This window comes from Homo sapiens, chromosome 1, assembly GCF_000001405.40.
Source record: "Homo sapiens chromosome 1, GRCh38.p14 Primary Assembly".
Taxonomy (NCBI): Eukaryota; Metazoa; Chordata; class Mammalia; order Primates; family Hominidae; genus Homo; species Homo sapiens.
Window position 1 is genome coordinate 229,871,605 of NC_000001.11, and position 24,800 is coordinate 229,896,404.

Consider the following 24,800-nt stretch of genomic DNA (forward strand, 5'->3'; position numbering starts at 1 on the left):
ATTCTTCCTGGGCTGGAGCAGGGCCATTCCTCACCGGGCACCATGAAACTGGAATAGGGGGCACTCTTGTGTTGGCATCACACAGGAAACATCCCCGGGGAGTTGGAGGGGAGCTCTGGCTTGACAGTCAGCATCCTCTCCACCCAGTGCTATCTGGAGATTCCAGCTCTCCATATTAATTCAGCCAACAATTGTGCTATGCTAGCTGCTCCATTCTATAAATATTTACCAGCAATCCCTGGGAGCTGTCCCCATGCATATATTTCCTGCCCATTACTGTGGCAACTGTTCTCTGTGTGGGCATCATAGAATGCTCTGGTAGGATGCCTTCTTGTAGGATAGATGTACGATGCTAAATGGTTTCAGTGAAGAGGACTTTATGGGAAAACACGGGAGGCAGAGTGTTGTCTGAGCAAATTCATTTGTCACTTTACCTGGAGGAGGAATGCTTTGCTCAAAGGAGCCTATGAGACAGCTCTGCAGTCCTTCATCTTTGTCCCTCACCACCTTAGCAGATATGTCACAAATGTTCTTGTTGCTTTGAAAGAACCAATTTCATTTACTCCTTTCGCTCATTCTTTAAGCAAAGCATGCAAGATGTGGAGCATGCATCAGCCTGGTCTCTGCTCGTGGAGCTCAGCCTAGTGAGGGAAGCAGGTCGGTGTCATAAGGGCATGAGCAGGTTGCTTTAGGAGTAAATATGTAGAGGTAGTCATCCCTGGAGAAGGTGGGCTTCTATGCCTGGATCCAGGCATAGAAGTGGGGAGACATTCTGCCTGAGACTCTCCGAGGGAGGTGGAACACAGCCTCCCTGTGGGACAGGTCAAGGCGAGCTGATGTTGATGTTCTGGTGGTAGGAGAGATACCATGTCTCACCTTTAGAGGATGGGGACTGCGCAGCTCTTCCTCCTGGGAGAGTAGAGCAGGCCGAGCACAAGCAAGAAGTGACCTGTGCAGAGTTATTGCCTGGGCCCCACCACCCGCGTTCTACCCATGGCATGGTCTCACCTGCCTCAAGCATCCTGAGAACCTGTGCCGTCTGTCTCAGCTCTTCTCACCATCCAAATCCATGACCACTACGGAGCCAAGAAATGTGCGCTCACTAAGGTGTGGGTGAGCAATCGCCCCTTCACCGATCACCACCAGAGAGTTTGCTCTTCTCTGGTTGCAGAGAGCCCATGAGAATACCTAGGCAGCAGGGCAGGGGCTGTAGGGCACTCCTAGAGCCTAGGGTGGCTATCTGTGAACTGTCCTGATCCAAATCACGGTGACAACTCAGCCACATAAAGCTCCAGGTCTCTTCCCAAGTGACCAACGGAAAGGATAGGAGAAACTAACAGTTTTTGAGGATTTGTTCTGAATTTGGCTCCTTAATAAACATCTCCTCATCACCATTCATTCTTCGATTTATTCTTTTACTTGTTCATTTATTTATTCACTCATTCATTTGACACATTTTTTTTACTGAGCAGTTATTTTGTGTGCTGGGCACTGATCTAGGCAGTCACCTTCCCTTGAGGTTCCGCCATGGAAGGTTAATATTGTTTGGATCTGTGTCCCTACCCAAATCTCGAGTTGAATTGTAATCCCCAATGCTGAAGGTGGGGTCTGGTGGCAGGTGTTTCGGTCATGGGGGCAGATCCCGGGCTTGGTGCTATGTTTGTGATAGTGAATTCTCACGAAATCTGGTCGTTTAAAAGTGTGTGGCACCTCCCCCACCCCATTCTCTCAATTGGTCCCGCTTTCACCATGTGAGCTGCAAGCTCCCGCTTTGCCTTCCACCAAGAGTAAAAACTTCCTGAGGCCTCCCCAGAAGCCATGTTTCCTGTACAGCCTGCAGAACCATAAGCCAATTAAGCCTCTTTTCTTTATAAATTAGTCTCAGGTATTTCTGCATAGCAATGCAAGAACGGACCAATACAAAGGTCATTCCCATTCTGTGCCTGCCATATCTGCTCAGCATCCAAAGGCCCCCTGGCTTCAGGTGGTCACCACTTACAGAGAGTGTTGAATAACCAGACAAAACTTCCTGCCCTCCCCAAACTTATTCACCAGAGGAGAGAGACAGACAGTAAATCCTCAAGGAAGAAAACACTTACGGAAGGTCAGTAGGGGTAAGTGTTAGCAGGAAAATAAGCAAGGAATGAAACTGTGAGATGTGGGCGTGATGGGGAATTTTAGATCGGGTAGCCAAAAGGTGAATTTTGGGAAAAGATGGGAAGTGATGAGGGAGAAAGCCACGGGGCCAGCTGGTGGGAGAGCAACTGGGGCGAAGCTAACAGCAGGTGCACAGGCCTGAGGCAGAGAGCACCTGGCATGTGCCTGGAGGAAGCCAGGGTGCCTGGAGCAGAATGAAAGTGCTGGGGATGCGAATGAGTTCAAAGAAGCAATGGGGGCGAGGGGCGCAGAGTCAAAGAGGATCGATTTCATAAGGAATTTGAAGCCATTATAAGTGCAGGCATTTTCTCTCTAAGTGAGATGGAGACCCAGTGCAGTGGTTACACGCCAGCAGAATCCCTCTCCTGTGGGGCTGTGATAGGTTGGGTGTTGTGGGGGTGGCCTGATGGGAAGGGCAGAAGTGGGGAGATCACTTAGGGAGTTCTTGCAATGATCCAAGAGGCTTGCTTCCAGATGGTGGTAGTGGTCAAATTCTGGATATATTCTAAAGGTGGAGTTCTCTGGCCATACAGATGGACCAGATGTGAGGAATGACTCAAAGAGAAGCATCAAGAACGGCTCCACAGGTTTTGCTGAGTCACTGGAAGAGCTGAGTTAACAGAGAAAAGAAAGGCTGCCCAAGTGCTCATTTGAGAAGGGAATATCAGGATCTTAGTTTGGATCTTGTGAAGTTTGAGGTGACCCATCGCCATCCAAGGGGAACGGGGAAGCAGGCAGTTTGGGCAATGGGTCAAGAGGTCAGGGAAAGGTCTGTGCAGGAGATGCACATTTGGAAGTCATGAGCATAGAGATCGTTTTGGAAATCATGATTTGGCAAGAGATCATTTAGTGAGTGAGGCTGGACCAAAAGGAGGAAAGGCCCAAGGTCTGAGTCGAGGGCTTGGCAACACCTGGGGTTTGGGGAGACAAGACTGAATCAGCAAGACAGTCTGAGAAGCAATGGCCAGAGAAATGGGAGGGGAGCCCAGCCAGGTGACATCCCTGAGGCCCAGCAAGGGGCCCCACATGCTGATGAGCACCCAGGGGAAGGTGTTCTGAGGAGCGGCAGAGGGTGTGAGTCACCAGTGACCTTGGGGTGGTAAGGACAAATGCCTGACTGAGTGAGTTCACTAGAAAGTAGGAGGAGGTAAGCAGAGACAGCAGGCATTGCCTCCTCTTTTCAGTAGTTCTGCTGTAAAGGGAGAGGAAAAATGGGGGCAGGAGCTGGAGAGGAAGTGGGGTCAGGAATAGGTCCTTAAGACCAAGAGAAATCACATCAGGTTGGCGTCACAGCCACATGGCAGAGATGCAAAGGTGCACCTGCTTGCAACAAGGAAGGGCTCAGAGGATGTACATCTGGATCAGGGTCTCATGTCTACAGGTGGGGAGCTGGGGCCTGAACCAGCACTGCACTGCATTTTTAAAGAATCTTGCTACTACCAGGAAGCCATGGAGTTTTGTTGAAAGAGAGCCTGAACTTCCGCCCTAAGTGACCCCTCTCTTCTAAATCTGTTGGAAGTTCTCCTCCTCTAGGAAGTCCCTCCTGACCATTGCGGCTTGGTCCCAGGCACTCACATATGGAAGCCCTGCAGAGCTGCCACGGGTACCAGCCCAATGGTGTGTATGTGACTTGCACTGAAGTCATCTCTGCAGCTGAGTCTTGATGCGGAGCACCTGGAAGGCAGGGAATATGCTGGCTATTTTGCTGTTTTCTTTATATCTCCTGGAGCTATCTACCCCAGTCTCCTTCCCTTCCCCCTACACACACACACACACACCACACACACAAGATGTTTAAAGAGTTATTGGGCTTTAAAACAGAAATCAGCATTCAGAACCTCTGCTTTCATGAGGAAAGGCCTTGAGGGCAGTGGAGGAGGAGGCTGGACTTTAGATCCTTACTTGGGGTGGCCAGAGTAGGTTCCTGGTTATATCGGCTCTTCTTTTTGTCATCCAGTTCCTGCAACACAAAGCCTGGTGAGACATGAGGAAGCCCCTTGCTAGCATATGCTTTATGTGTTTTCTAGTTCAAGAGCAGATTGGTCATCAATCTTGCCTTTTGTTTTATTCATTTTACTTTTCTTCTTTAAGTAATCACTTACAAGTTGTTTGCCCTGAAAGCAAGTTCTTATGTGTTTATTTATCAAAATAACAACAACAATTTATCCAAGGTCAGAACAACATAAACCACAAACTGCAAACGAGGGCATATTCCCATTTCACAGGTGGCAGAACTGAGGACCGTGAAAGGCGACATGCTCTTGTTGGGTGGTGGACCCCAATGTCAAACAATAAACTAGATCTGAGATGGAAAGCTGGATGTATTCAAAAGCTCCAGGCCAGCCTATATTCAGAGAGGAAAGTTGAGATCCATAGAGATCTATTCCTGCTCTTTTCCCCAAGTTCCAATTTCTTCTCCAGGGCTTCTAGTTCCCTTTTGTAATTCTTCCTACATACCTGTGATTAACTTTTTTTCTCAATTGAATATTTCAGCTGAAATGAGGAGGAACACCATTTGGCTTGATTTTAAATGGCTCCATGTAGGTGTGCCCCTGTCTAGAAAGTACTTGTAATGTGGAATTAAGGACAAGACTCCAGCTTTAAGGCAACTGTTAAAGGAACAAGTAATGGAAAGTTGCCTTTCACATCTCACTCATTTTAGACACATTGTAGTTAACTCTGCCAGAAAAATAATTGGCTCAGATTGGGTCGATCCAATTGAGGATCTAAATAACCTTGCTTGAGTGGTATTTATATTTCAGCTTCTGGTGTTGGGTGAAGTTATTATGTGGCTTGAATGCTAATTGAACACTAAGTGAGGACAAAAATAATACCAAGGCCCATCAAATGATATCACTTCTTCTTAATCTCCTTGTAAATAAGCACGTGGAGAGTTTTTCAAAAGTTCATTTTGCACAGGTGGCTTCTCAAAAGTTCATTTTGTTTGTTGGGAACTTGCATTATTTCCCTAAAGAAATAGTGTTCTGCTTAGTGGTAAACTCCACTGGTCAGAGTAATAATAATAGTCCAATTCACCTAAGCTCTAATGTAACTGGGCAAAAGTATTTACAGAACCAGCCAGAGTCCTGGGTCCTGGGTGGCAGATGCTATTTAGGTTAAGAAAAAGAAGGATGAGGAGGAAGAGGATGCCCTACTCCCACCCTTTTCCTGGGACACAGACCCCTCCACGTCAGTGTCCAGACAGAGGTCAGGCTGAGAGTGGTGCCCAGGACAGGGCCTTAGCTGGACAGGCTGGTTGGGGCAGAAGCAGAATGGCCCTTAGCACCATGAAGATGGCTTGGCAGGTGCAGTTGACTCCCAGAGTTGCTGGGAGTTGAGAGGAGTAAACAGAATGACCAAGAGGAAGTCCCAGTATGAAGACTGGTAGTAGAGGCCGGGCACGGTGGCTCACACCTGTAATCCCAGCACTTTGGGAGGCTGAGGCAGGCTGATTACCTGAGGTCAAGAGTTCAAGACTAGCCTGACCAATATGGTGAAACCCGTTCTCTCCTAAAAAAAAATACAAAAATTAGCCGGGCTGTGGTGTCGTGCGCCTGTAATCCCAGCTACTCAGGAGGCTGAGGCAGGAGAATCGCTTGAACCTGGGAGGCAGTGGTTGCAGTGAGCTGAGATTGCACCACTGCAGTCCAGCCTGGGCAACAGAGGGAGACCCTGTCTCAAAAAAAAAAAAAAAAAAGACTGGTAGTAGAATTAGCATCTGAGAGTTGGCGTAGAAACCAGGGCAAATTCTGAAGCTGAAGCTGATTCTAGTAACTAAAAGAGAGTGAAAAACACATGGGGGGCAGGAGGCAGCCACATAGAAAGTGGGTTTCAAACCGGGAGGGTCATAGTGGGAGAGGATAGGGCTGAGGGAAGCGGTTGGGGTGCACAAGGGAGAGGGAACCCAGGCTGGAGTCTGTGGGTCAAGACACTTTATTTACAACTGTTCCTTCCATGTGAAGTCTTTTCCTTTCCAATTCCTTAAGGCAACCACATTTTCAGCAGCATTTTGACATCAGTGAGTTTGTCTCTGGCCTCTGCACCCTCTCTCACTTCCTGGTGTCCATCCTCCACTCCTCCATGACCCTCATCTGAGCCAACCTTAGGCTTTTGCTGCAACTTCTCCCCCACGTCTGTCTGCGCTCCTGCTGAGACTCACTCCCCTGCTCTCTCTGCCCTGCTTGTCAAGCTCCAGGCAGTCCTGCAGATGAGCTGAACATTCTCGAGAAGGAAAGGACTTCTATTGTGTAGAAATGATCAGTCACTCTGGTTCTTCTTCCAGAAGGGTTTGCATTCTGGGAGGACACTTGTCAGCCAAGAGAAATCTATAACTGGTGAATCTGAAGTCATACAACATGAAAGCAGTGAAGTGGAGTGGGAGGGAGGGAGGAGAGAAGAGGGAGATTTTTAGGCTGCGAGGTGAGCATTAGGCAGATTGATTCTGCCCAAGAATCTTCCCTGAGATGCAACCCTCAGAGTTGGGGCTGCTTGCCCAAGCTACAGGTTTTCTAAAAGCTCTAGATTTTCACTGCACTTCCCACTGCTATAGTAGGAACTAGCCTACTGGGGACTGGGGGACAGGAAAAATGCTAGTAAGATCAGCTAAAATCTACTGAGTACTCCCTGGGTGCCAAGGAGTGCTCTAAGTATTTTAATGCACACTATCTTTTAAGCTTCACAGCAATCTTATGAAGAAGATCCTGTCAGTCATCTTCCCTTGTATTACAGATGAGGAAACTGAGGCATGGAGAGGCTGGGTAACTAGAACCAAGCCCTGTTGCTAAATGTGGCAGAGCCAGGATTTGAAGCATGCCTAGCTGACCCAGCACCTCCATCTTTGACCTTGACTTTCTTCTGCCTATGAAGGCAGAGAAAGAAAGGGCAGCTTACAGGCACATAGCTTCGTAGCCTGGTAGCTTTGCATCTGTATCTTCCAGTTAAGGGGATCTGAGTTGAGCTAAGGAAGTGAGGATGAGGAAGAAGAACTCGGTGAAGACAAAAGCCAGAAGGGATGCAGCTGGCAGAAGGGAGCAGGCTCAGGTGTTAAGCTAGCAAGAGGGGCAAAAAGGGCTGGTCAGGGAGTGGCTGAGAAGACATTTCTACAGGAGAAAGACCAAGGATTCTACATGGACAGAGGCTGGAAGAAGATGAAGTGGGGAAAGACTTTGCATATGGATGGGATAAAGGTGATGACTTTATCTAAGAACAAGAATGAGGTAGCAGCCAAAACATGGCGATGTGAGGGAAGAAGGGAGAATGGAGAGGTGGATAGGGCTGACTGCCACATACTTCTCTAGAAAGGTGAGTTTTCTGCAAAAAGGAGAATTGGATGGTCATAGAAGCTGAGCAGGCAAAAGATTCTCTGGTTATGATTATCTGAGAAATCATTCTTAAAATATAATGCTGCGGGCCATGCACTGTGAGCCTGGCTCTGTATGAGGTATTTTACGTGCATCATTCTAATTCTCTCAACCCTTCAAGTTAGATAGTGATGCTTCCATTTTACCAAAGGAGGAAATTAAGCCCAGAATGGTTAAGTGATCTGCCCCAGATCATACCATTAGTAAATTACAGAGAGGGAATGTAAAACCAAGATGAGCTTGCTGCATTACTTAAGCACAGGCTAAGCTGCTGTGACACAGACATCCAAAGACCAGTGAGTTAGATAAGATGGAAGCTTATTTCTCTTTCATGTAATAGACTGGAGATCAGAGGCCCATGAAAGTGGAGTGGCTCTGCTCCACAATGTCACGTCATTTCAGACATCTGACTTTCTTCTGTTGTATGGCTTTGTGACATCTTAAGGTATTGTCCTCATCTGCACAGGTGAAGCTGGGTCCTTAGAATACCGGTGTCCTTGTGGGAAAAACTCCAAGCAAATGGCCTTATTGTGAATAATATGAGCTTTAATGAGATTGCTGTTGCTCCCATTGGATTGTCTGAGCTTGGTCATCATCTCACATCTGGCTGCAAGGGTGACCAGAGAACCTGCAGTCAGGTGGCTGTGTGCCCCAATGACACCAGGGCTCACATAGTAAAGGAAGAAGACTGTCAAAGCTTTTGATATTTTGGCCACATAATGTTGTCTCTGGTTTTGCAGATGAGGTGCTGTGCTGGACAACGCTGCCTTTGGGCTTCGGCTTGGACCGTGGGGAGGCAGAGCAATGATGTTGTTAGGATTAAATGACAACCAGCCTTCTGTTATTTCTGGAAGGTATTTTTCCATGACTCAAAGAGTGGGAGGAGGGGAAAAGTTCCTTGCTGTTGAGATATTTGCCTCTTGGAGAAGGTTCAGAAGAGCTACCTTGGTAGTCAGAGGAAGGCTCACATTTTCTAAATATTCACATAACTCAGAATCAACATGGAAAAAATTTAAGTATGCAAAGCACAAGGAAGAGAATCAAAACTACCTGCTGTTTCTCCACCCAGAGAGACCCCTGATTAGTGACCTTTCTCCTAAACAGACAGGCGCGTATACCTTTTATTTTTTTGCAACATTTGAATGATGTGAACATACAATTTTGTGTCTTGCTCTTTTTCCTGTCTGGGACCATGAGCAGCTGCCTGTGGCTATGGGGAGAAGAAAAGCTTACTTTCCTCTAATGCTCTGTGTGGCAGCTGTGCACTGACTACTGGCTGTATTATGAACAGATGAATAGGTGTACAGCACCGGGGGCTCCACCCAGGGCCCTGGGGTGGCCCCACACGGGAGGCCTGAGCAGGCAGAGGTCGGGTGGAGAGTGATGGGCCGATGGGGGCTCTCCAAGGTCCTCTTCTTCCCCAGGGCCTCCCACACTGTGCAGCTCCAGCTCCTTAGAACTGTCACTGCCAACATGTTATTTTCCCATCTCTCTAGATCCTAAGAACCACTGCCTGTTTAAGCCAGCAAAGGAGATGTCTTCTGCAATGCCAGGGCTGGGAAGGGGTGGGACTGAAGATTGCCTGATCTGATTCTTACTCCCCAGCCGGTGAAGCCACAGCGGGTCTGCCGTGGGCTCAGATGAAGTGTAATTGGCAGATGGTCTCTCCGCATTCATGCTCTCCCCACCTGGGACTAGGAATAAGAAAGGCCCACAGACTGCCCCACCTCGGAGCTGAGGCAGCCTCCATCCCATCGGGTCACCCCTGGTTTCTGCAGTCTCCTCCTGCCACCCGTGCAGTCAAGAGGTGCAGAGACCCCAGGCGTGGCGAGCCTGTCTTCATTCTCAGGTAGACAGGTGGCACATTTGTTTCTCTCCAGAGCCTCAGAACATCTCACAGAGGCATGGCATCAACTCTGTCTTAAAACTTCCCGGACAAGGGGATCAGCCTGTCTTCTAGGGGGAAGCCAGGTTGTCCTCACAGGTGAAAGTCCTTGTCCTTGGGCTGCTGACGAGCAAAGGGTGGGAGGAAGCTTTTTCCCCAGCTTCAGGCTTAGCGATGTGCTCAGCCTCCTCTTTGGTCTTTGTGTACCTTTGGCGTAGATTTTGGAACTTCCAGAGAAGGCAGGAGTGAGCTGTGGGGGAAGGAACGACGTTTCCTTAAGGAATTGTTGCCAGCACTTGGGTCATGAAGCCCTTCTCTGTGTCTCCTCCGACTGGAATACTCATCACGTCCTCTTAGCTGATAACAATAGCTGACTTTAATAAGTGTAGTGCTTCCTATATATGTGTATGTGTGTATATATATTACTTTTAAAAATGATTTGTTGTATATTTCATAAATGAAGTAAAAATTCATAACAATCCTGAAATAAAGGTCAGTTGGATACATCAAATGAAGTTATCGTTTGACATATATGTAAATTAATAGAGCTAAAGAAAAGAATGGCAGGCATGGACCTCTTCAATAACTGCAGGAATCATTCAGCACCATGCCAGAATATTGAATCAAAAGCTTTCAGTCCTGAAGTTTGTTATATGAGCTAGAACGTTATCATGATGATCATTTTGAGGCTTGCACAAGGAGAACACTGGTGTGCTGTGGTCGTGTTATCAACAGGAAAAAAATCACTTTGTGTGTGAGTGTGTGTGTGTGTGAGACAGAGTCTTGCTCTGTCACTCAGGCTGGAGTGCAGTGTTGTGATCTCGGCTCACTGCAACCTCTGCCTTCCGGCTTCAAATGACTCTCATGTCTCAGCCTCCCAAGTAGCTGGGATTACAGGCATGCGCCACCACGCTGGCTAATTTTTTTTGTATTTTCGGTAGAGACAGGGTTTCGCCATGTTGGTCAGGCTGATCTTGAACTCCTGACCTAAAGAGATCCGCCTGCCTCCATCTCCGAAAGTGCTAGAATTACAGGCATGAGCCATGGTGCCCAGCCCCAAGTTGTTTAATCAATTTTAGCTCAGGGGCAGACAAATATTTACTTTCCTACTCAAAATGCATGATAAGGTAAATTGAGTTCATAAATATTAGTGACGGGGTAATAAAGAGTTTACCAGATGCTCAACTCAGACCATAGAGGGGTCTTCCATATGTAGTGCAAGTGCCAAGAAAGGCAAATGGGGAAAGTTTACAATATCATAATACATTAAACTATTATATATGTATATGCTTGCTATGTATATTATGTATGTAGTAATATAGTGCTTGCTATATGATTACTATACTCTTATATATCTGCATACTGTGTATATGCTTACTATATATTACATATCTATGGTAAGCACTATGGTAGTTATGTAGTAAGCACTATAATAATGTGTATATGTATGATAAACACTATATATATATATGGCACTATTCTAAGCACTTTGCAGCTATTCATCTATTCAGTTATCAATCTTCACAACAAACTATGAGTGGGCTCCATTATGATTCCATTTTAAGATGAGGAAATGGAGGCCCTGTGCCAGCTAGTTATATTTGCTCCCACAGATCCATTTGCCCCCCCTCCTCTGGCATGCTCTCCACCCCAGGAGCCAGGTCTAGCTAGACCACACAGACAAGCTTCTGTGTTCTGTGCTTTTAGTTGGGTTTAGCCAGTAAGGAGCCTCATCAGGAGAATGGAGGGAGAGAAGGGAGAGTGAGGACGTGCACCCGTTACCCTGGTTTCCTCCCTACAAGATGACGGTGACTGTCTGGGTTCCCCCACCTGAGGACACAGCTGCTTTCAGAACAAGGCTCTGCAGCCTCTCTCTCCCCTTGTTCCTTCTGGCCCAGTGCTGGGGACAGCTCTAACACTGCTGGTCCTGTGTCCCTGCACTGGCGCCTGTGTTTTCCCCATGCTCCACCCACATCTTTGAAATGATCATTTATAAATACCCCTTCCAACGACCCTAATTTGGTGTTCCATCTGTTTCCTACTGAAACTCTGGCTGATGTGGCCCCTATGGGATTTAACTCTTTTGCACAAGATCATCCAGCCAGGAAGGGACAGAGCTGGGGTGTGAACCCAGGCAGTCTGTCCTGGTGTCTGTGCTTCTAACCACCACCTAAACCTCTCCATGGAAAGAGCACTGGTCAGTAACCCAGAGTGCTGGTTTGTGCTCCTCTGCCAACTGGCCATGCAGCTTTGAGCAAATAATGAGATCTCAGCTTCTGTTTCTCAGGCATACAGTGAGGTGGTTGCAGTTCCTTTTTGTTCTAACACATGGCTTCCCAAATTCCCACTGTAAGTCAGTCTCTTGCAGTCCTGCATTTCCTAGGGCCTTTCTTTGCTATTAGTTGTCGCTGTGAAAGCACAAGTTACATTCAACTCCCCAAAACAACTGAGGACACAATTTGCAGGGGCAGTGTTGTACTAAATAAAGCTGTGCTCCATTGTGAAGGTGTTCCGCCTCAGGAAACCGCTCTTTTCTCATTCTAGTTCAAATGTGCGTCCCAATTTGCTTGTCTTATTTATTTATGTTCCTTCCCTCTGAACTCCATTTAATTAAATAACCAGAAAAAAAAATGTGTATTCACTGTGAGTTGCCATCTTCATTCAGAAAAATGCTGAGCACACCAAAAGCCAGCAAAGTTCTTGTTTTTGCAATTCAGTGAAGCCTGCTTTCTTTTTCATAAGCACCAAATGACTGCATGCATGCCAACCACGGAAATTAGGATTTGGTTTTGGTTGGAAAAAACGATCACTGACCTGAATCAAATGTCAGTTTTACTCTAGGTGCAAGAATTTTGTGATTGAAGAATGCTGTTTAGGGATAGGTTCTGCCCATCAGTTTCCCAGGGAGCTGGGCACAGTGGGTTGGAGCAAATAGAGTGAGGGAAGCTTGAATGGGACTAAAGGGGACACAGTGTTGGGACACACCACATGGGAGACAGGGAACACAGCTTGGAGAGATCTTGTGGACGCAACCACCACAAAAGAGGATAACTCACAAGCAATCCTGCTGCCGCCACCCCCAGCCTAACACCAAGGCAGGGGAAGGCTGAGAGACACAAGATTGATAGCATGTATTTAATGTGAAAAATGTTGGAGGGTCTTAGTGGACCACAAGTTCACAGAGTTGGTGATCCTTCAAGACAAAGAGGTCAAGGTCCAAAAACTTAAAGTTTTCGTCCAAAGTTATAAGGCTTGGGCAAAACCAAGACTCAAACTCAGACTTTCTTAAAGTCCATGCTCATTCCTTTATACTGTAGGTTCCCAGACCTGGAGAATCGAAAATACGTGTAGATTCCCAGGCCCCATTCCTGACCTCCTGAATCAGAAAATTCACAAGGGTAGCTTAGGAATCAATATTTTTGCTTTGGAACGCATCAAAAGGATACAATGTTGGGATTAGCACCTAAATAATCAGGGGACAGGCAGAGTATATGGGACCCCAGTAGAAACTAGAGTGGCCATTAGTTGATAACGGCCAAAACTGAGTGATGAGCAAATCGGGTTAATTTTACTATTTTCTCTGCGTACTAAGCATTGCGGGAGGGACTGAGTAAAGTGTCTCTAAAAGGGACATAAGTATTGTCTTTTTCCCAAACAGTCAGCAGAGCTGTTGCCATCAAGCATTATGAAATGTGGGAAGCAAAGGGCTGGAAGAATCTCGAAAAGTCGAATCTCCCCACTGCATGCTGGCATCATCACCATAACCACTCTCATCGAGAGGATCATCTGTTGGGGGCAGGATTTGCTCTTTTCCTGGGCTTACTAAATAACCAGCAGAGGGAAACACACAAGAAAGTTTGGCACATTGGATGTTTCCTCAGGCTCAGCACAACCAGCTCCACCTGCCCAACATCACACGAAGAGAGTCAACACTGCAGGACCTGACACAGGCAGGGGCCAGCCACCCTGGTGTTGGCAAGCAGCCCACCCAGGAGACAGAACTCCAGGTCTGCCTGATGGTTCACATCATGTGCAGGGCCAGCGGGGGGCAGTGGCAGCAGAGCATACAAACACACTGACTTTGGGGAGGTGCAGACTTAGCACCAAGTCTGATTTGGTCATTGCTGCGGGCAGGTTGTCAAATCTCTGGGAGCCTCCATTTTCTTACCTGTAAAATGAAAATAATAATACAGTTGAGCATCCCTACTCTAGAAATCCGAAATCGAAAATGCTCCAAAATCCAAAACTTTTTGAGCATCAACATGACACCACCAGTGGAAAATTCCAACCTGGTTTCATGTGACAGGTTATAGTCACAACTATGTTTCATGCACTAAAGTATTTAAAATATTACACAAAATCACTTTTGGGCTATGTGCTGCATATAAGGTGTATATGAAACATAAATGAATTTCATGTTTGGACTTCAGTCCCATCCCCAAGATATCTCATTATATATACGCAAATATTCCAAAATCTGAAAAAATCCAAAACACTTGTGGACCCAAGCATGTCGGATAAGGGATATTCCACCTGTAATACTGCTGGTGTCCTGGCTTGGGAGGATTTCTGGAGGTGGTGCACAGGAAGCATTTAGCAGAGGGTCTCATGCATGAGGAATGGGAGTTATTCTTCTTATGGAATCTGCTCTCTGGCTCTCGGGCCTCCCTGGAGCAGAGGCTGCCCAGTCTCTGTCTGCAGCCCCATCTTCCACTTCAGTGTGCTCCAGCTTCAGTGTGCTCCAGCGGACTCTGGGGCCCAGAGCTGCATCTCTTTGCCTGAAGCCTTTCTCTGTAGCCACAGAAGGTCATTCTGCCCTCAGGCAAGGCAGTCCAGGAGGAGAATTAATGAGAGAAGCAATCTTTGAATCCTGCACGGAAACACTGAAGCTTCTCCCACCCACAAGGTATGTGTGTTCTGCTGGCTTCCAGCTCCCTGTGGCATTAGGCTCCTGTTACCCACAGCCATGGCTGCTGTGATAACACACCCTGTACCGGCCACATCCCCTTTCCTGTCTCATTTCACTACTCCCCTAATGATGTTTTCCTTTACCTCCCAAGGAAGCAACATGTGCTTGTGTCCTTTCCCAGGGATTGCTTCTGGGGGTAACTCAAACTAAGGCATTGCCCACTACCCGCCACGTTCTCCCGATTTCTTCAGCATCTCAGGCTCCTCACTCAAGCTGACTTCAGATCTCATGTCTCCCTCCTCCTGCCCTTTTGGTGGTGGCCGCTGTGTGCCATGGCCAGATATCCAGTGGAGGCCCCTCATCACAGCTGTGGCAGATGTGAACTGCGTGTCCCTGCCTTAGGTGCAGCCTGCGTGGGGTTCCCCACCACGGTCTAAAGCCTCTGAGGTGCTCCCTGCATTCCTGCAGGTAGGCTGAGTTTCTTGAAGAAATGGGGAATGTGCTTCTTTCCCCCAGCTCCGTCATCTGGATTCTAAAGCAGCCCACTTGGACCCAGCCCAGACCAACCCTACAGTCTCCTGTGGTGCTAGCTGGCTCAATAATGTATCTTTATTTGCCCCATCCACCTCCCAAATAAATCACTGTGCTCAAATCTTTGCCTTGGGATCTGCTTTGGGGGCCCCCCAAACTAAGACAGCTAGAGTTTGAAGGGGTCTTGGTAGCAGAGTTTTGTGGGATTCTGCTCTTGGATCCTTTGCTGCTCAGAGGGCAACAAGGCCCCGGTTTTCGGTGGTAAGTGGGTGGTGATGACCCCTTGGCATGCATCGTGACTGTTAAGAATGTCTTCACTTGGTGAATAAGCTACTGCAGCTCCACCCAGTAAGCAGCCGGAATGCCAGGGTGGATGCGGGTCTTTGGTACACTGCTCTCTGATGCTGCGGCTAGGAATTCCCACCTACCACATTTCTGCCCTGCCAGTGGCTCCCAGTTAGGCTCTGGGGCGGGGGGCAACGGGAAGCTGGAGGAAAACTGGAGGCTAGAGAAGAAAGAAGGGACATGCTCCTTCTCATCTCCTCCCTTCCTCTGGTGTCAGGCTCATCCCAGCAATGATGCATCACCTTTGCACTCACAACACTTGGTTCCAATAGCAACAATTGGTTCCAGTTAATGGCTTTGCCCAAACCAGCTTCATGGCACCCCTCAGGGATACAAGCACCAGTTAGCTGGTGCCCTCTACTTAGACAAAACTCTTTCCTGTGTGCCCCCCAGTACTGGGATGAGAGCTGCATCCTGCCGTTACCATCTCTGTGATACCTCAGTGAGGGTGGCCAGCAGTCCTGCTCTGCCTGAGACTAAAGTTTTTCCCAGAGCACAGTGCTTTAAGTGCTAAAACTAGAACAGTCCTGGGCAAACTGGGATGGTTGTTCACCCTATCTCAATGTGCCCATTTAGACCTGTCTGGTTCCTCAATTCTTGGTATTAAATTCTCTCTGTAAAAATAACTAATGTGGTTTAAAACTCCTGGCTGGGCTGGAGCCTGGTTGATACAGGAAGAAGTGCAGGTGCTAGAGGACGCACCAGCTTGTGCAATAATATCACTAGCATTTGAGAGCTATGGTGGTGACAGCACATACAAGTGCGGTGGAGATGATTGTTAGGTGCATCAATGCCCTGAAGGGAGAAAATAGGCCAGGCTGAGTCAGCTAACAACCAAAGTAAGCACAGAATTAGAAGCCAGAAAATCTCTATGACAGCATGTAACAGCTAGAGCCAGTCCTAATGCACTGCCAAGATAGTGCCTTACAGCTTGCAAACAATAATGACCTCCTGTTAATGCCAAAACTGCCTTGGCAGCAAAAAGGGTAGAATGTCTAGCAAGGTAGGCATACAAAAATAGATTTATTATGTAAGACCAGAGAATCTACCAATTAACAAGGCTCTGTAACTGGATGGCACATCCTGCTGAAAATTAAGCTTATGATCTGATAAAAGAATAGCAAAGTCTGAATTTGTGGCTCCAGCAAATGTTCTGTGTCAAAGTCAAGGGGCTGATAAGGAGGAAGAGACCTGAGGACCTGAAATGAGGACTTTCAGGTAGATGTGCTTGAGAACCTTCAATCCTCAGATTCCCTGGAACTCTCTCGGCTTGCAGAAGTGGCCCACTTCCCTTGTAGAGAGAAAAAGCCTTCCCTTACCCCAAGACCATACAAAGCCCTCACTTGAGGCAGAGGCTTTCTGAGATGATGAGTACCCTTCTCAAGATTTCCTCCACCAGCCCTCACAGCTTCTAGACCAGGGGTCAGCAGACTTATTTTGTAAAGAGACAGCAAAAAATTTAGGCTTTGTGGTCTGTACAGTGTTTGCCATAATGATTCAACTCTTCCATTGTATCACAAAGGCAGCATAGACAATATGTAAATGAATGGGTATTTCAATAAAACTTTATTTACAAAAAACACACAATATTTGACACATGGGCCATAGTTTGCCAATCCCTGTTTAGGCCAATAATTGGTACATGCCTTGGAATGCCCGATGAGAGAATTACTGTCATCGTTTCAGAAAGGGATGTAACATCTAGCTAATGTGTACCAACATGACCCAGGAAGACATGTTTGGGGCTGAATTTTGAGAATGCTGGACTGAAGGAGAGTTTATGGATATGTGGGCTGTCTCCTGTGGCTCAGGATGTAGTGTCCTGGCAAGAACACCTAAGCCAGTCCTGATGCACTGCCAAGATAGTGCCTTACAGCTTGGAAACAATAATGACCTCTTGTTAATGCCAGAACTTTGCAGCAGAAAGGGTAGAGTGTCTAGCGAGGTAGGCATACAAAAATAGATTTACTATGTAAGACCAGAGAATCTGCCAATTAGCCAGCTCTGGGAGAGCCCAGAGGGTTTGCTCTCCATTAGCAATATAAGGAATACGTCAGTGAGGTGGCCATCAACATTGTTGAGAAACTTCCGGTGATTGACCTTTCTAGGCTGCTATGGGTCTGGGCTCCCTCTTAGTGTCATTGGGTATGATGGGATTCAAGAAGGGCACAGCACAGTTGGCAGCACTTACCCATCAAAGGCAAAGTAGACAAATGATTGTAACAGCAGCAAAGTTAGAAGGACAATCTGGGTTCTTATCTGCAGGAATCAGGGAGTAGTAACTAATAGACTGTGGTGTTCCTAGCAGTGAGACTGGAACATATTGTTTGAACTATGTAACTAAAGATCAAAAGCTGATGAGCAGAAGGCTGATGTCAGCTGCTGCAATGAAAAATCTTGATCCCTTGCCCAGTTTCCAGACCTGAGCCACTTATCAGACCCAGAGCCTGTATTGAAAGAGAGGCTGGGTACCCCTGAGAAATGACCTTGTATTGCCACATTAAGCATACACAGTAGTGATACCCCCTATCTATTACCAAAAAGATCTATGGACATTTCTTCTGAGGACTCAGATCTTTGAAGAGCTGTGGACACAAGATCTGAGCTAAAGCTGACACGATGGGACCAGTGCCATAATAACACCCTCTGTTGATATGAGGAAAGTCCTGGCTTCAAATCAGTCTCATAGTGAGGCCAATGGATCTATGCCCTAGCTGCTGTTCATTTTCCTGGTCTCTGAGTTCATAATCGAAATAGACATACTTAACAGTGGGAGAACCTGTTATAAAATAAGAGCCATGATGCTACGAAATGCCTAGTGGAAGTTCTCAAAAATTCCTCACCCCAGCCAAGATAGAAAATCAGAAATACTGCCTCTTTCTGGATTAGAACGCCACCCTCCAAGGCTCAAGGAAGGCAGACTTTATGGTGGTCCCCATCATATCCCTAAATAATTTACTAGTCCCACCACACAAAAATGAAATGGTGCATTGCAGATGAAGATGGACTACTGACAAATTAACCAAGTGGTAGCCACAGTTATGAGTGCTGGAATAGATCAACACGACATCTATCACCAAGTATAATAATCTGCCAGAAGCATTTTCTCTCTCTCTCTCTCTCTGTCTCTCTCTCTCTCTCTCTCTCTCTCCTTGAGACAAGAGTCTCGCTCTGTAGCTCAGGCTGGAGAGTGCACTAGCATGATCTTGGCTCACTGCAACCTCCGCCTCCTGGGTTCAAGCAATTCTCATGCCTCAGCCACCAGAGTAGCTGGGATTACAGGCACGTGCCACCATGCCTGGCTAATTTTTGTATTTTTAGTACAGACGAGGTTTCAACACGTTGGCCAGATTGGTCTTGAACTCCTGACCTCAGATTATCTGCCCACCTTGGCCTCCCAAAGTGCTGGGATTACAGGCATGAGCCACCATGCCTGGCCATGGCAGATGCATTTTCTTAAATTTCTATTAGGAGAGAGGATCAGAAGCAACTTGCCTTTACTAGGAATAGAAAACAACATACATTCACAGCATTGGCCTAGAGCTCTGTGAATTTCCTATTGTTTGTCAAAATACAATTCAAAGGACTTTGGTTGTCTAGATATTCTGCAGAACATTCTGTTAGTCCACCATATTGAGGACATGATGGTAAGCAAACCCAGTTAACAGGAAATGGTAAGTATTCTGAATACCCTGGTAGGATTTATATGCATCAGAGCGTAGGAGATACACTCTAAAATCTTCAGGGACCTGCTACTTTGGCAAAGTTTTTAGAGGTCCGATGATTAAGGGCATTTCAGGATAGCCCCTACAAGCTGTAAGACAAAGGCATAACACTTTTTAGAACACTTCAGATTTTGAAGATAGCATATACCACACTTAGAAATACTATTCTAACTCATTTACTGGCTTCCAGTTTTGAATGGGACCCAGAGAATCTAAAAGCTTTCCTTCCTCAGTGAATTGACACCTTTATGTAATGTTACTTTTGATCCCTGGTATTAATTCTTTGTTCCAGAGTCTACTTTGTCTGATACTAACAAAGTTACTCCAACATTCTTTTGATTGGTGATTTCATAATATATCATTTTCCATGTTTTTACTTTTAAATTTTTTCTTTATATTAAAAGTATATTTCTTGTAAACAGCATACAGTTTTTTTTAAAAAAATTCAATATGACAATCTCTGCCTTTTAATTTGGGTGTTTAGACCATTTACATGTGACATACGTATTGACATGGTTTGTATCAGTACAAATATTTATAATGGTAGATTTAAATCTACCATTTTGCTAGTTGTTTTCTATTAGACTCACATGTTTCTCGTTGCCTTTTTCTTCTTTTTTTACCTGCTTTTCAGATTAAGCATTCTATGTTTTCATTTTAGCTCTATACTCAGTTTATTAGTTATACTATTCTTTTTATTTTTAGTTGCTTTAGAGTTTACTGTGTACATATTTATTTATCACAGTCTAACTTCAAATATTATGCCATTTCATTTGAAGTGCAAGAACTTTACAAAGTATACTGCCATATGTTTTCTTATTGTTGTCATAAATCCTAGAGTAGAGTACTTTGTGAGCATTTTTGCTTTAGGCCAGTGATAGGCACACTGATTTGTGATTGTGCCAATTCCAGCCTGCCACCGGTTATTGTAAATAAAGTTTTATTGGAATATAGCCATTTGTTTGCATGGCTGCCTTCAGGCTACAATGGCAGAGTTGAATGGTTGCAATAGAGACCACGGGCCCACAAAGCCTAAGGTATCTACTATGTGGTCCTCTATTGAAAGAAAGTTTATCAATCCCTGCAAATAGTCAAGTATTTTTTAAGGCAATTAGTAATAGGCAAAAATGACCTTTATATTCACCATTTCTGAAGTTCGTTTCTTTGTATAAATCTAAGTTTCTGACTGGCATCATACTCCTTCTGTCTGAAAAACTTCCTTTAATATTTCTTACAGATGAGGGCTGCTAACAATGAGTTCTCTCGGCATTTATTTGCCTGAAAAAAGTCTTTATTTCACCTCCATTTAAAAATGTATATTTGTTAGGTGTGGAAATCTCTACCAACAGAAAATGTCTATCAGGACTTTAAAAGCCTTCCATTGCCTTCTGGCTTCCACTGTTTCTGGTCTCTTCCAACCAACTGGCATTTTAGCTGACTTTGCCTTACCTGCTTGTAAGGTGTCTGTGCTGGTCTCCCCTGCTCTGACACTGATGAGCCTGCCCTCATGCTTCCTGTCTTTGGAGGGGCTTGTCCTTCTTTGGAATTCTAGTTGCTTAGTTGCCCTGTGATGTCAGTCCTCTGATGAGTTCAAGGAACATTATCATTTTGTATTTCATTTGTCATATTCTTGTTGTTAGGGTAGAGGTGATATACTTTCTAACTCTCTACATAGAAGTGGAAATCAATCTAAGATTTTTAACAAAATGATTTAAGGCAGTCTTAAAGAGTTAAAGAGTTTGGTCCCAATACAAACGGAGTTATTTAACTCATTCAAACATTTAAAGTAAGATTTATAAATTTAATATATTTTATTTCCTTGTTTAGGTACTTCAATTGCCTGATGGCTAAACCAAACCTTTTCAGATTTCTTAGGTAATTTTCATAAATTTAATGGATTACAATTATAAACAGAATGAATCCAGGTCTTTCTAAATGTTCCCATACTGTTTATAAACTTAAATAATTTCAAATTAAAAATCCTGCGTTTAAATCACTTAATTTTAATATGAATCACAAAGTTGGTCTATTACTTGCATAGCCCCAAATCTCTTAAGTACTTCAAGAACATAGACACCAAAAATGAATAAAATACTTATGTCAAGAGTTGTAGAGCCTGAGATTTCACTCTGCTTTCCAACTAGCAAGTTTCATCAAAGCTGGCAAAAGACATGAGATCCTGGATCAGAGACAAAGAACTTTGTTATGTCAATAGTAGTAGACAGAGTATCAACATTTACACCAGTTCCTCAAGTCCCAGTTCCCATAGGGTGATGTGAAGAGCCCAGAGGCATCTTTACACACAATGGGTTACAGGAGAGGAACCCCAAGCTTAGAGATCTGGAATCTTTTATAATAGGCAGTAAGTCCACTTGACCTTTGCATTGGAGGGAGACGTTATCTTTATTATATCAGAGAGCAAACCAACCTGCCCTTTGTTCTTGAAGGGCACCATCTCTGTCTTCCAAAGCTGTTCAGAAAAACACCCTCTGCTCACAAGACATGCAGAAATATGAAAGACCCATGGAAAATTGTATCTAAACACCTTAACCATGAAATAATGTTACTATGTGTTGATTCCTCTGAAGTATTCTAAATTCAAATCTGGTGTTTGAAAGGTGTTCTCCTACTAAGGAAACAGTTGTCATTTCAAACAACTTTTGGATTATCTTCTCACACAACTTTTGTGGTTGTCTGTCCCAGCTGAGGAGTTTTTAAGACCAGTGGATTTCTGGCTGGAATGTTGTCTTGCTTCTTGTTGGTAACCTTGACTGCCAGGCTGATCCAGTTTTATAGTCACTCTGCTAACGTTCCCTAAACAGGGTGTTCTCCCTGCCTGTGTCACCTACTCTTAATGTTATACAGGATCTCATTCCACTGATCTCCAACTTGGCTGCCACACTCTTTGATTGGGTTCGGCACAGCTATTTACTTCTTTGTTCTATTTCAAGTTCTTTTCACATCAACCCTATATTTTAGACCACAAACCTCGGAGTTATGTCTAATTTTACAGTCTTAATTGTTAAGAATATTTGATTCGATTCTTTCATGGGATAAAAGAGGGTATCTTCTCACTTAATTCTCTCTTTCAGTTCTAGAAAGTGCTAAGAATACCAACTTGGCTAAGGGAAAGAGGAAATTCTTCCTGTGAAGGTCTCTGTCTCAGAGACATAACCATTATGGTAGCAGCCCGGGTGCTGTGGCTGGGAGTTGGGTGCTTCTGTCCACTCCAGAAGAACTATGGGCCCCTGGAAGGTGCTTCTCCTCAACCTGCTGTGCACATCAGTGGCAGCCCCACCCCACCCCAGGAGGACCACCTGCTATGGAGGCTGAGTCCAGCCAGGAGTCCAACCAGCACCTGGATGTTTACCTTTACAGCACCAAGGCAGCTCCCAGGGAGAGGCGAGCTCTGACTACACCCAGATCCATTCCCCAAGTTCCTCTTTCTTCCCTCCAGCGGATCATTAATCTCCCAGGACACATGCTGCACGCTAATTGTGCTCATAATGGGAAATGAGTCAGAGAGAAGGGTCACCACTGTGGTGACATGGAGCTACCTTTTTATAGGTACATGGTTTTAATGGGAATGTGAGAAGGAATCACTGCCCTAAGGCAGCCTCTGGTTTGACTAGCTTGAAACAACCAAGGTTTCTCCCCATTTCAAATTCTAAATTAATTATAGCCTAAGCTTAGCATCTTAGTCAGACTTCATTAACCATTCAGTTTGAAGGCCATTACCGACCGCAGAGCATCCGGCTCCACCAGACAGCGGCACATCTGTACTCTCAACTCACGGAGAAAAACTTGAGCTGCTATCTCATTTCCCTCGGTTAATAGCAAAATAAAGAGTACCCTGGGGGAAGGAGACCTGTCAATGGCAAGATAGGCTCACATCCCATCCGGGCTGGCAGGGTTTCACTTTTCTCACAGAGCTGCAGGAGGAAGGGGAGCCCTCACTGGGAGCTTTTTCGGGGACTCCAGCTGAGCCTGAGCTCCAGGGCAATGTGGAGCAGTCCTGAGAAGTTGTCTCAGTTTCACAATTACTTTGTTGCCAGAATGCACAGAAAACTGGGGTGCTCTTATTTCTGCTTTATAAGACTCCTTGTTGTGAAAAGGGTCTGGGATTCTAGGGATTGGAAAGCAGGTATTGTTGTTGGGAACCAGGAGATTTGAGCTGTAGTCCTGTCCCCACTGCTCACTGACTTCATCCTTGGATGAGTCACTCAATCTATTAGTTTACTAATTCCTGAGAGGATGTAATTCTTCCTGCCTTGCTTATATCTCAGGGTTGTTGTTGGAGTCTAACTAAATAATAGGTTAGTAAATAAGAATGCACTCTGTGAAGTATTGTCTTCCTTATTCTAAGCTGGAGTCCAGAGAGTTGGTTCTGTTTTTAGGACAGGACAGAGCTGGCTTGCTCAGGGGTTGAGAACAAAGCTACCTGGGTTCTTGGTCTGAAACTATACTCAAGAGCTAAAAAGACTGGTCATGGCATTCTACCTATGGAAGCTATGTTGTCGTAGAAGTGGAAGAAAAGGGGAGTCTTCCCTGCCTAGCTGTGAGAGCATAGGTAAGCCACCTAAGTAAGCGAGTTTACCAAGGAAGAGAGTGCAATGAGAAAGAGAAGACAGCAGGCTTGGGAGCAGGAAAGAAGAGAGATGGAATCAAAGGACTGAAAGATAAGGGGCATCCAAGACTACATGGGGTTGGCTCTGTCCTCAAGCTGTATCTGGAATCCCAATGTTTCTCACCTCTGCTGCCACCTTGCATAGCCATCATCTGCAGAGGTTCCTGAGGGTTGTCATCCCTCAGGACATGTTGAGGCTCTCATCCTCAACATGTCCTGCCATTTGTTTTTGACACAGAAGTCAGAGTAAGTAGCATTTAGACAGCCCAGTTTCTCACAGAGCCCTCAGTAGCTCCTTAGTCTACTCAGGGTAAAAGCCAAAGTCTTGACAGAAACCTGTGAGGCCATCCTCTCAGGACTTACCTTTCGCCACTCCCTCCCCTGTCACCCACCCAGTCATATGAGCTCCCAGGTTGATGCAGGCTGTTCTAGGCTATTCCAGGCTGCTCCAGTTTGCTGCAGACCATTCTAGGCTGCTTCAGGCTAGTCTAGGCTGTTCCAGGTTGATCTAGACTGTTCCAGGCTTTTCTAAGCTGTACCAGGCTGCTCCAGGCTGTTCTAGGTTGTTCTAGGCTGCTCCAGGCTGTTCTAGGCTGCTCCAGGTTGTTATAAGCTGTTCCAGGCTGCTTCAGGCGCTCCTAAGCTGCTCCAGGCTCTTCTAGGCTGTTCCAGATTGTTCTAGGCTGTTCCATGCTGTTTTTATGCTGCTCCTTAGTCAGTGCCTTAGTCAGCAAACCAACTTTGCTTTTCCCCCCAAACCTCTGGTGATTCCCCAGGAATCATTCACATCTTTGCTCTGATGTCATTTTCATAACGAGGCTTCTCACGAAGACCACTGCAAACTCCCCAGCTCTCTACCTACCTATCATTTCCTCTTGCTTGTCTTTCCCATAGCACTTAACACCTTCTACAATGCCATACCTTTTATTCATTTATTACATTTATTGTTTATTTTCTGTCAGATTCCTCCTCTTCTCACCCCTCCCAGCCCCTCACTCCCCCACCCTCACCCCTAGAATGGAAATTTTGTGAGGGTGATGGTTTTTTTCTGTCTGTTTCTTTTCACTGATGTATCCCAGGGACCCAGAACACTGCTGGGCACATGTTAAGTATTTAATAAATATTTGTGGAGAGTGAATAATTTTGTGGAAGGTAAGAGTAGAGACTGTCTCAAGAAAGATGGAATTTAACAGTGTCCACACTTCCAAATGCTTCAGAGAGATCAAGGTGAGAGCTGAGATTATATGGTCAGTGTGCACCT

The 24,800-nt window shown here is 45.6% G+C and overlaps 1 long non-coding RNA gene across 4 annotated transcripts; it reads right to left on the bottom strand.

Annotated features, from left to right (window-relative positions):
* Window positions 1-3,945: 3,945 nt before the first annotated feature.
* LINC01682 (long intergenic non-protein coding RNA 1682) lies at window positions 3,946-22,304 on the bottom strand. 4 transcript variants are annotated; one of them, NR_146473.1, is made up of 3 exons: window positions 20,362-20,432; window positions 13,936-14,214; window positions 13,255-13,570 (listed from the first exon to the last, which is right to left on the bottom strand). It is a non-coding gene; the product is annotated as a long intergenic non-protein coding RNA 1682 (long non-coding RNA). The 4 variants fall into 4 exon arrangements; NR_146476.1 differs by lacking the exons at window positions 13,255-13,570; window positions 20,362-20,432 and adding an exon at window positions 3,946-4,117; NR_146475.1 differs by lacking the exons at window positions 13,936-14,214; window positions 20,362-20,432 and adding an exon at window positions 22,283-22,304.
* Between the last annotated feature and the right edge of the window lie 2,496 nt (window positions 22,305-24,800).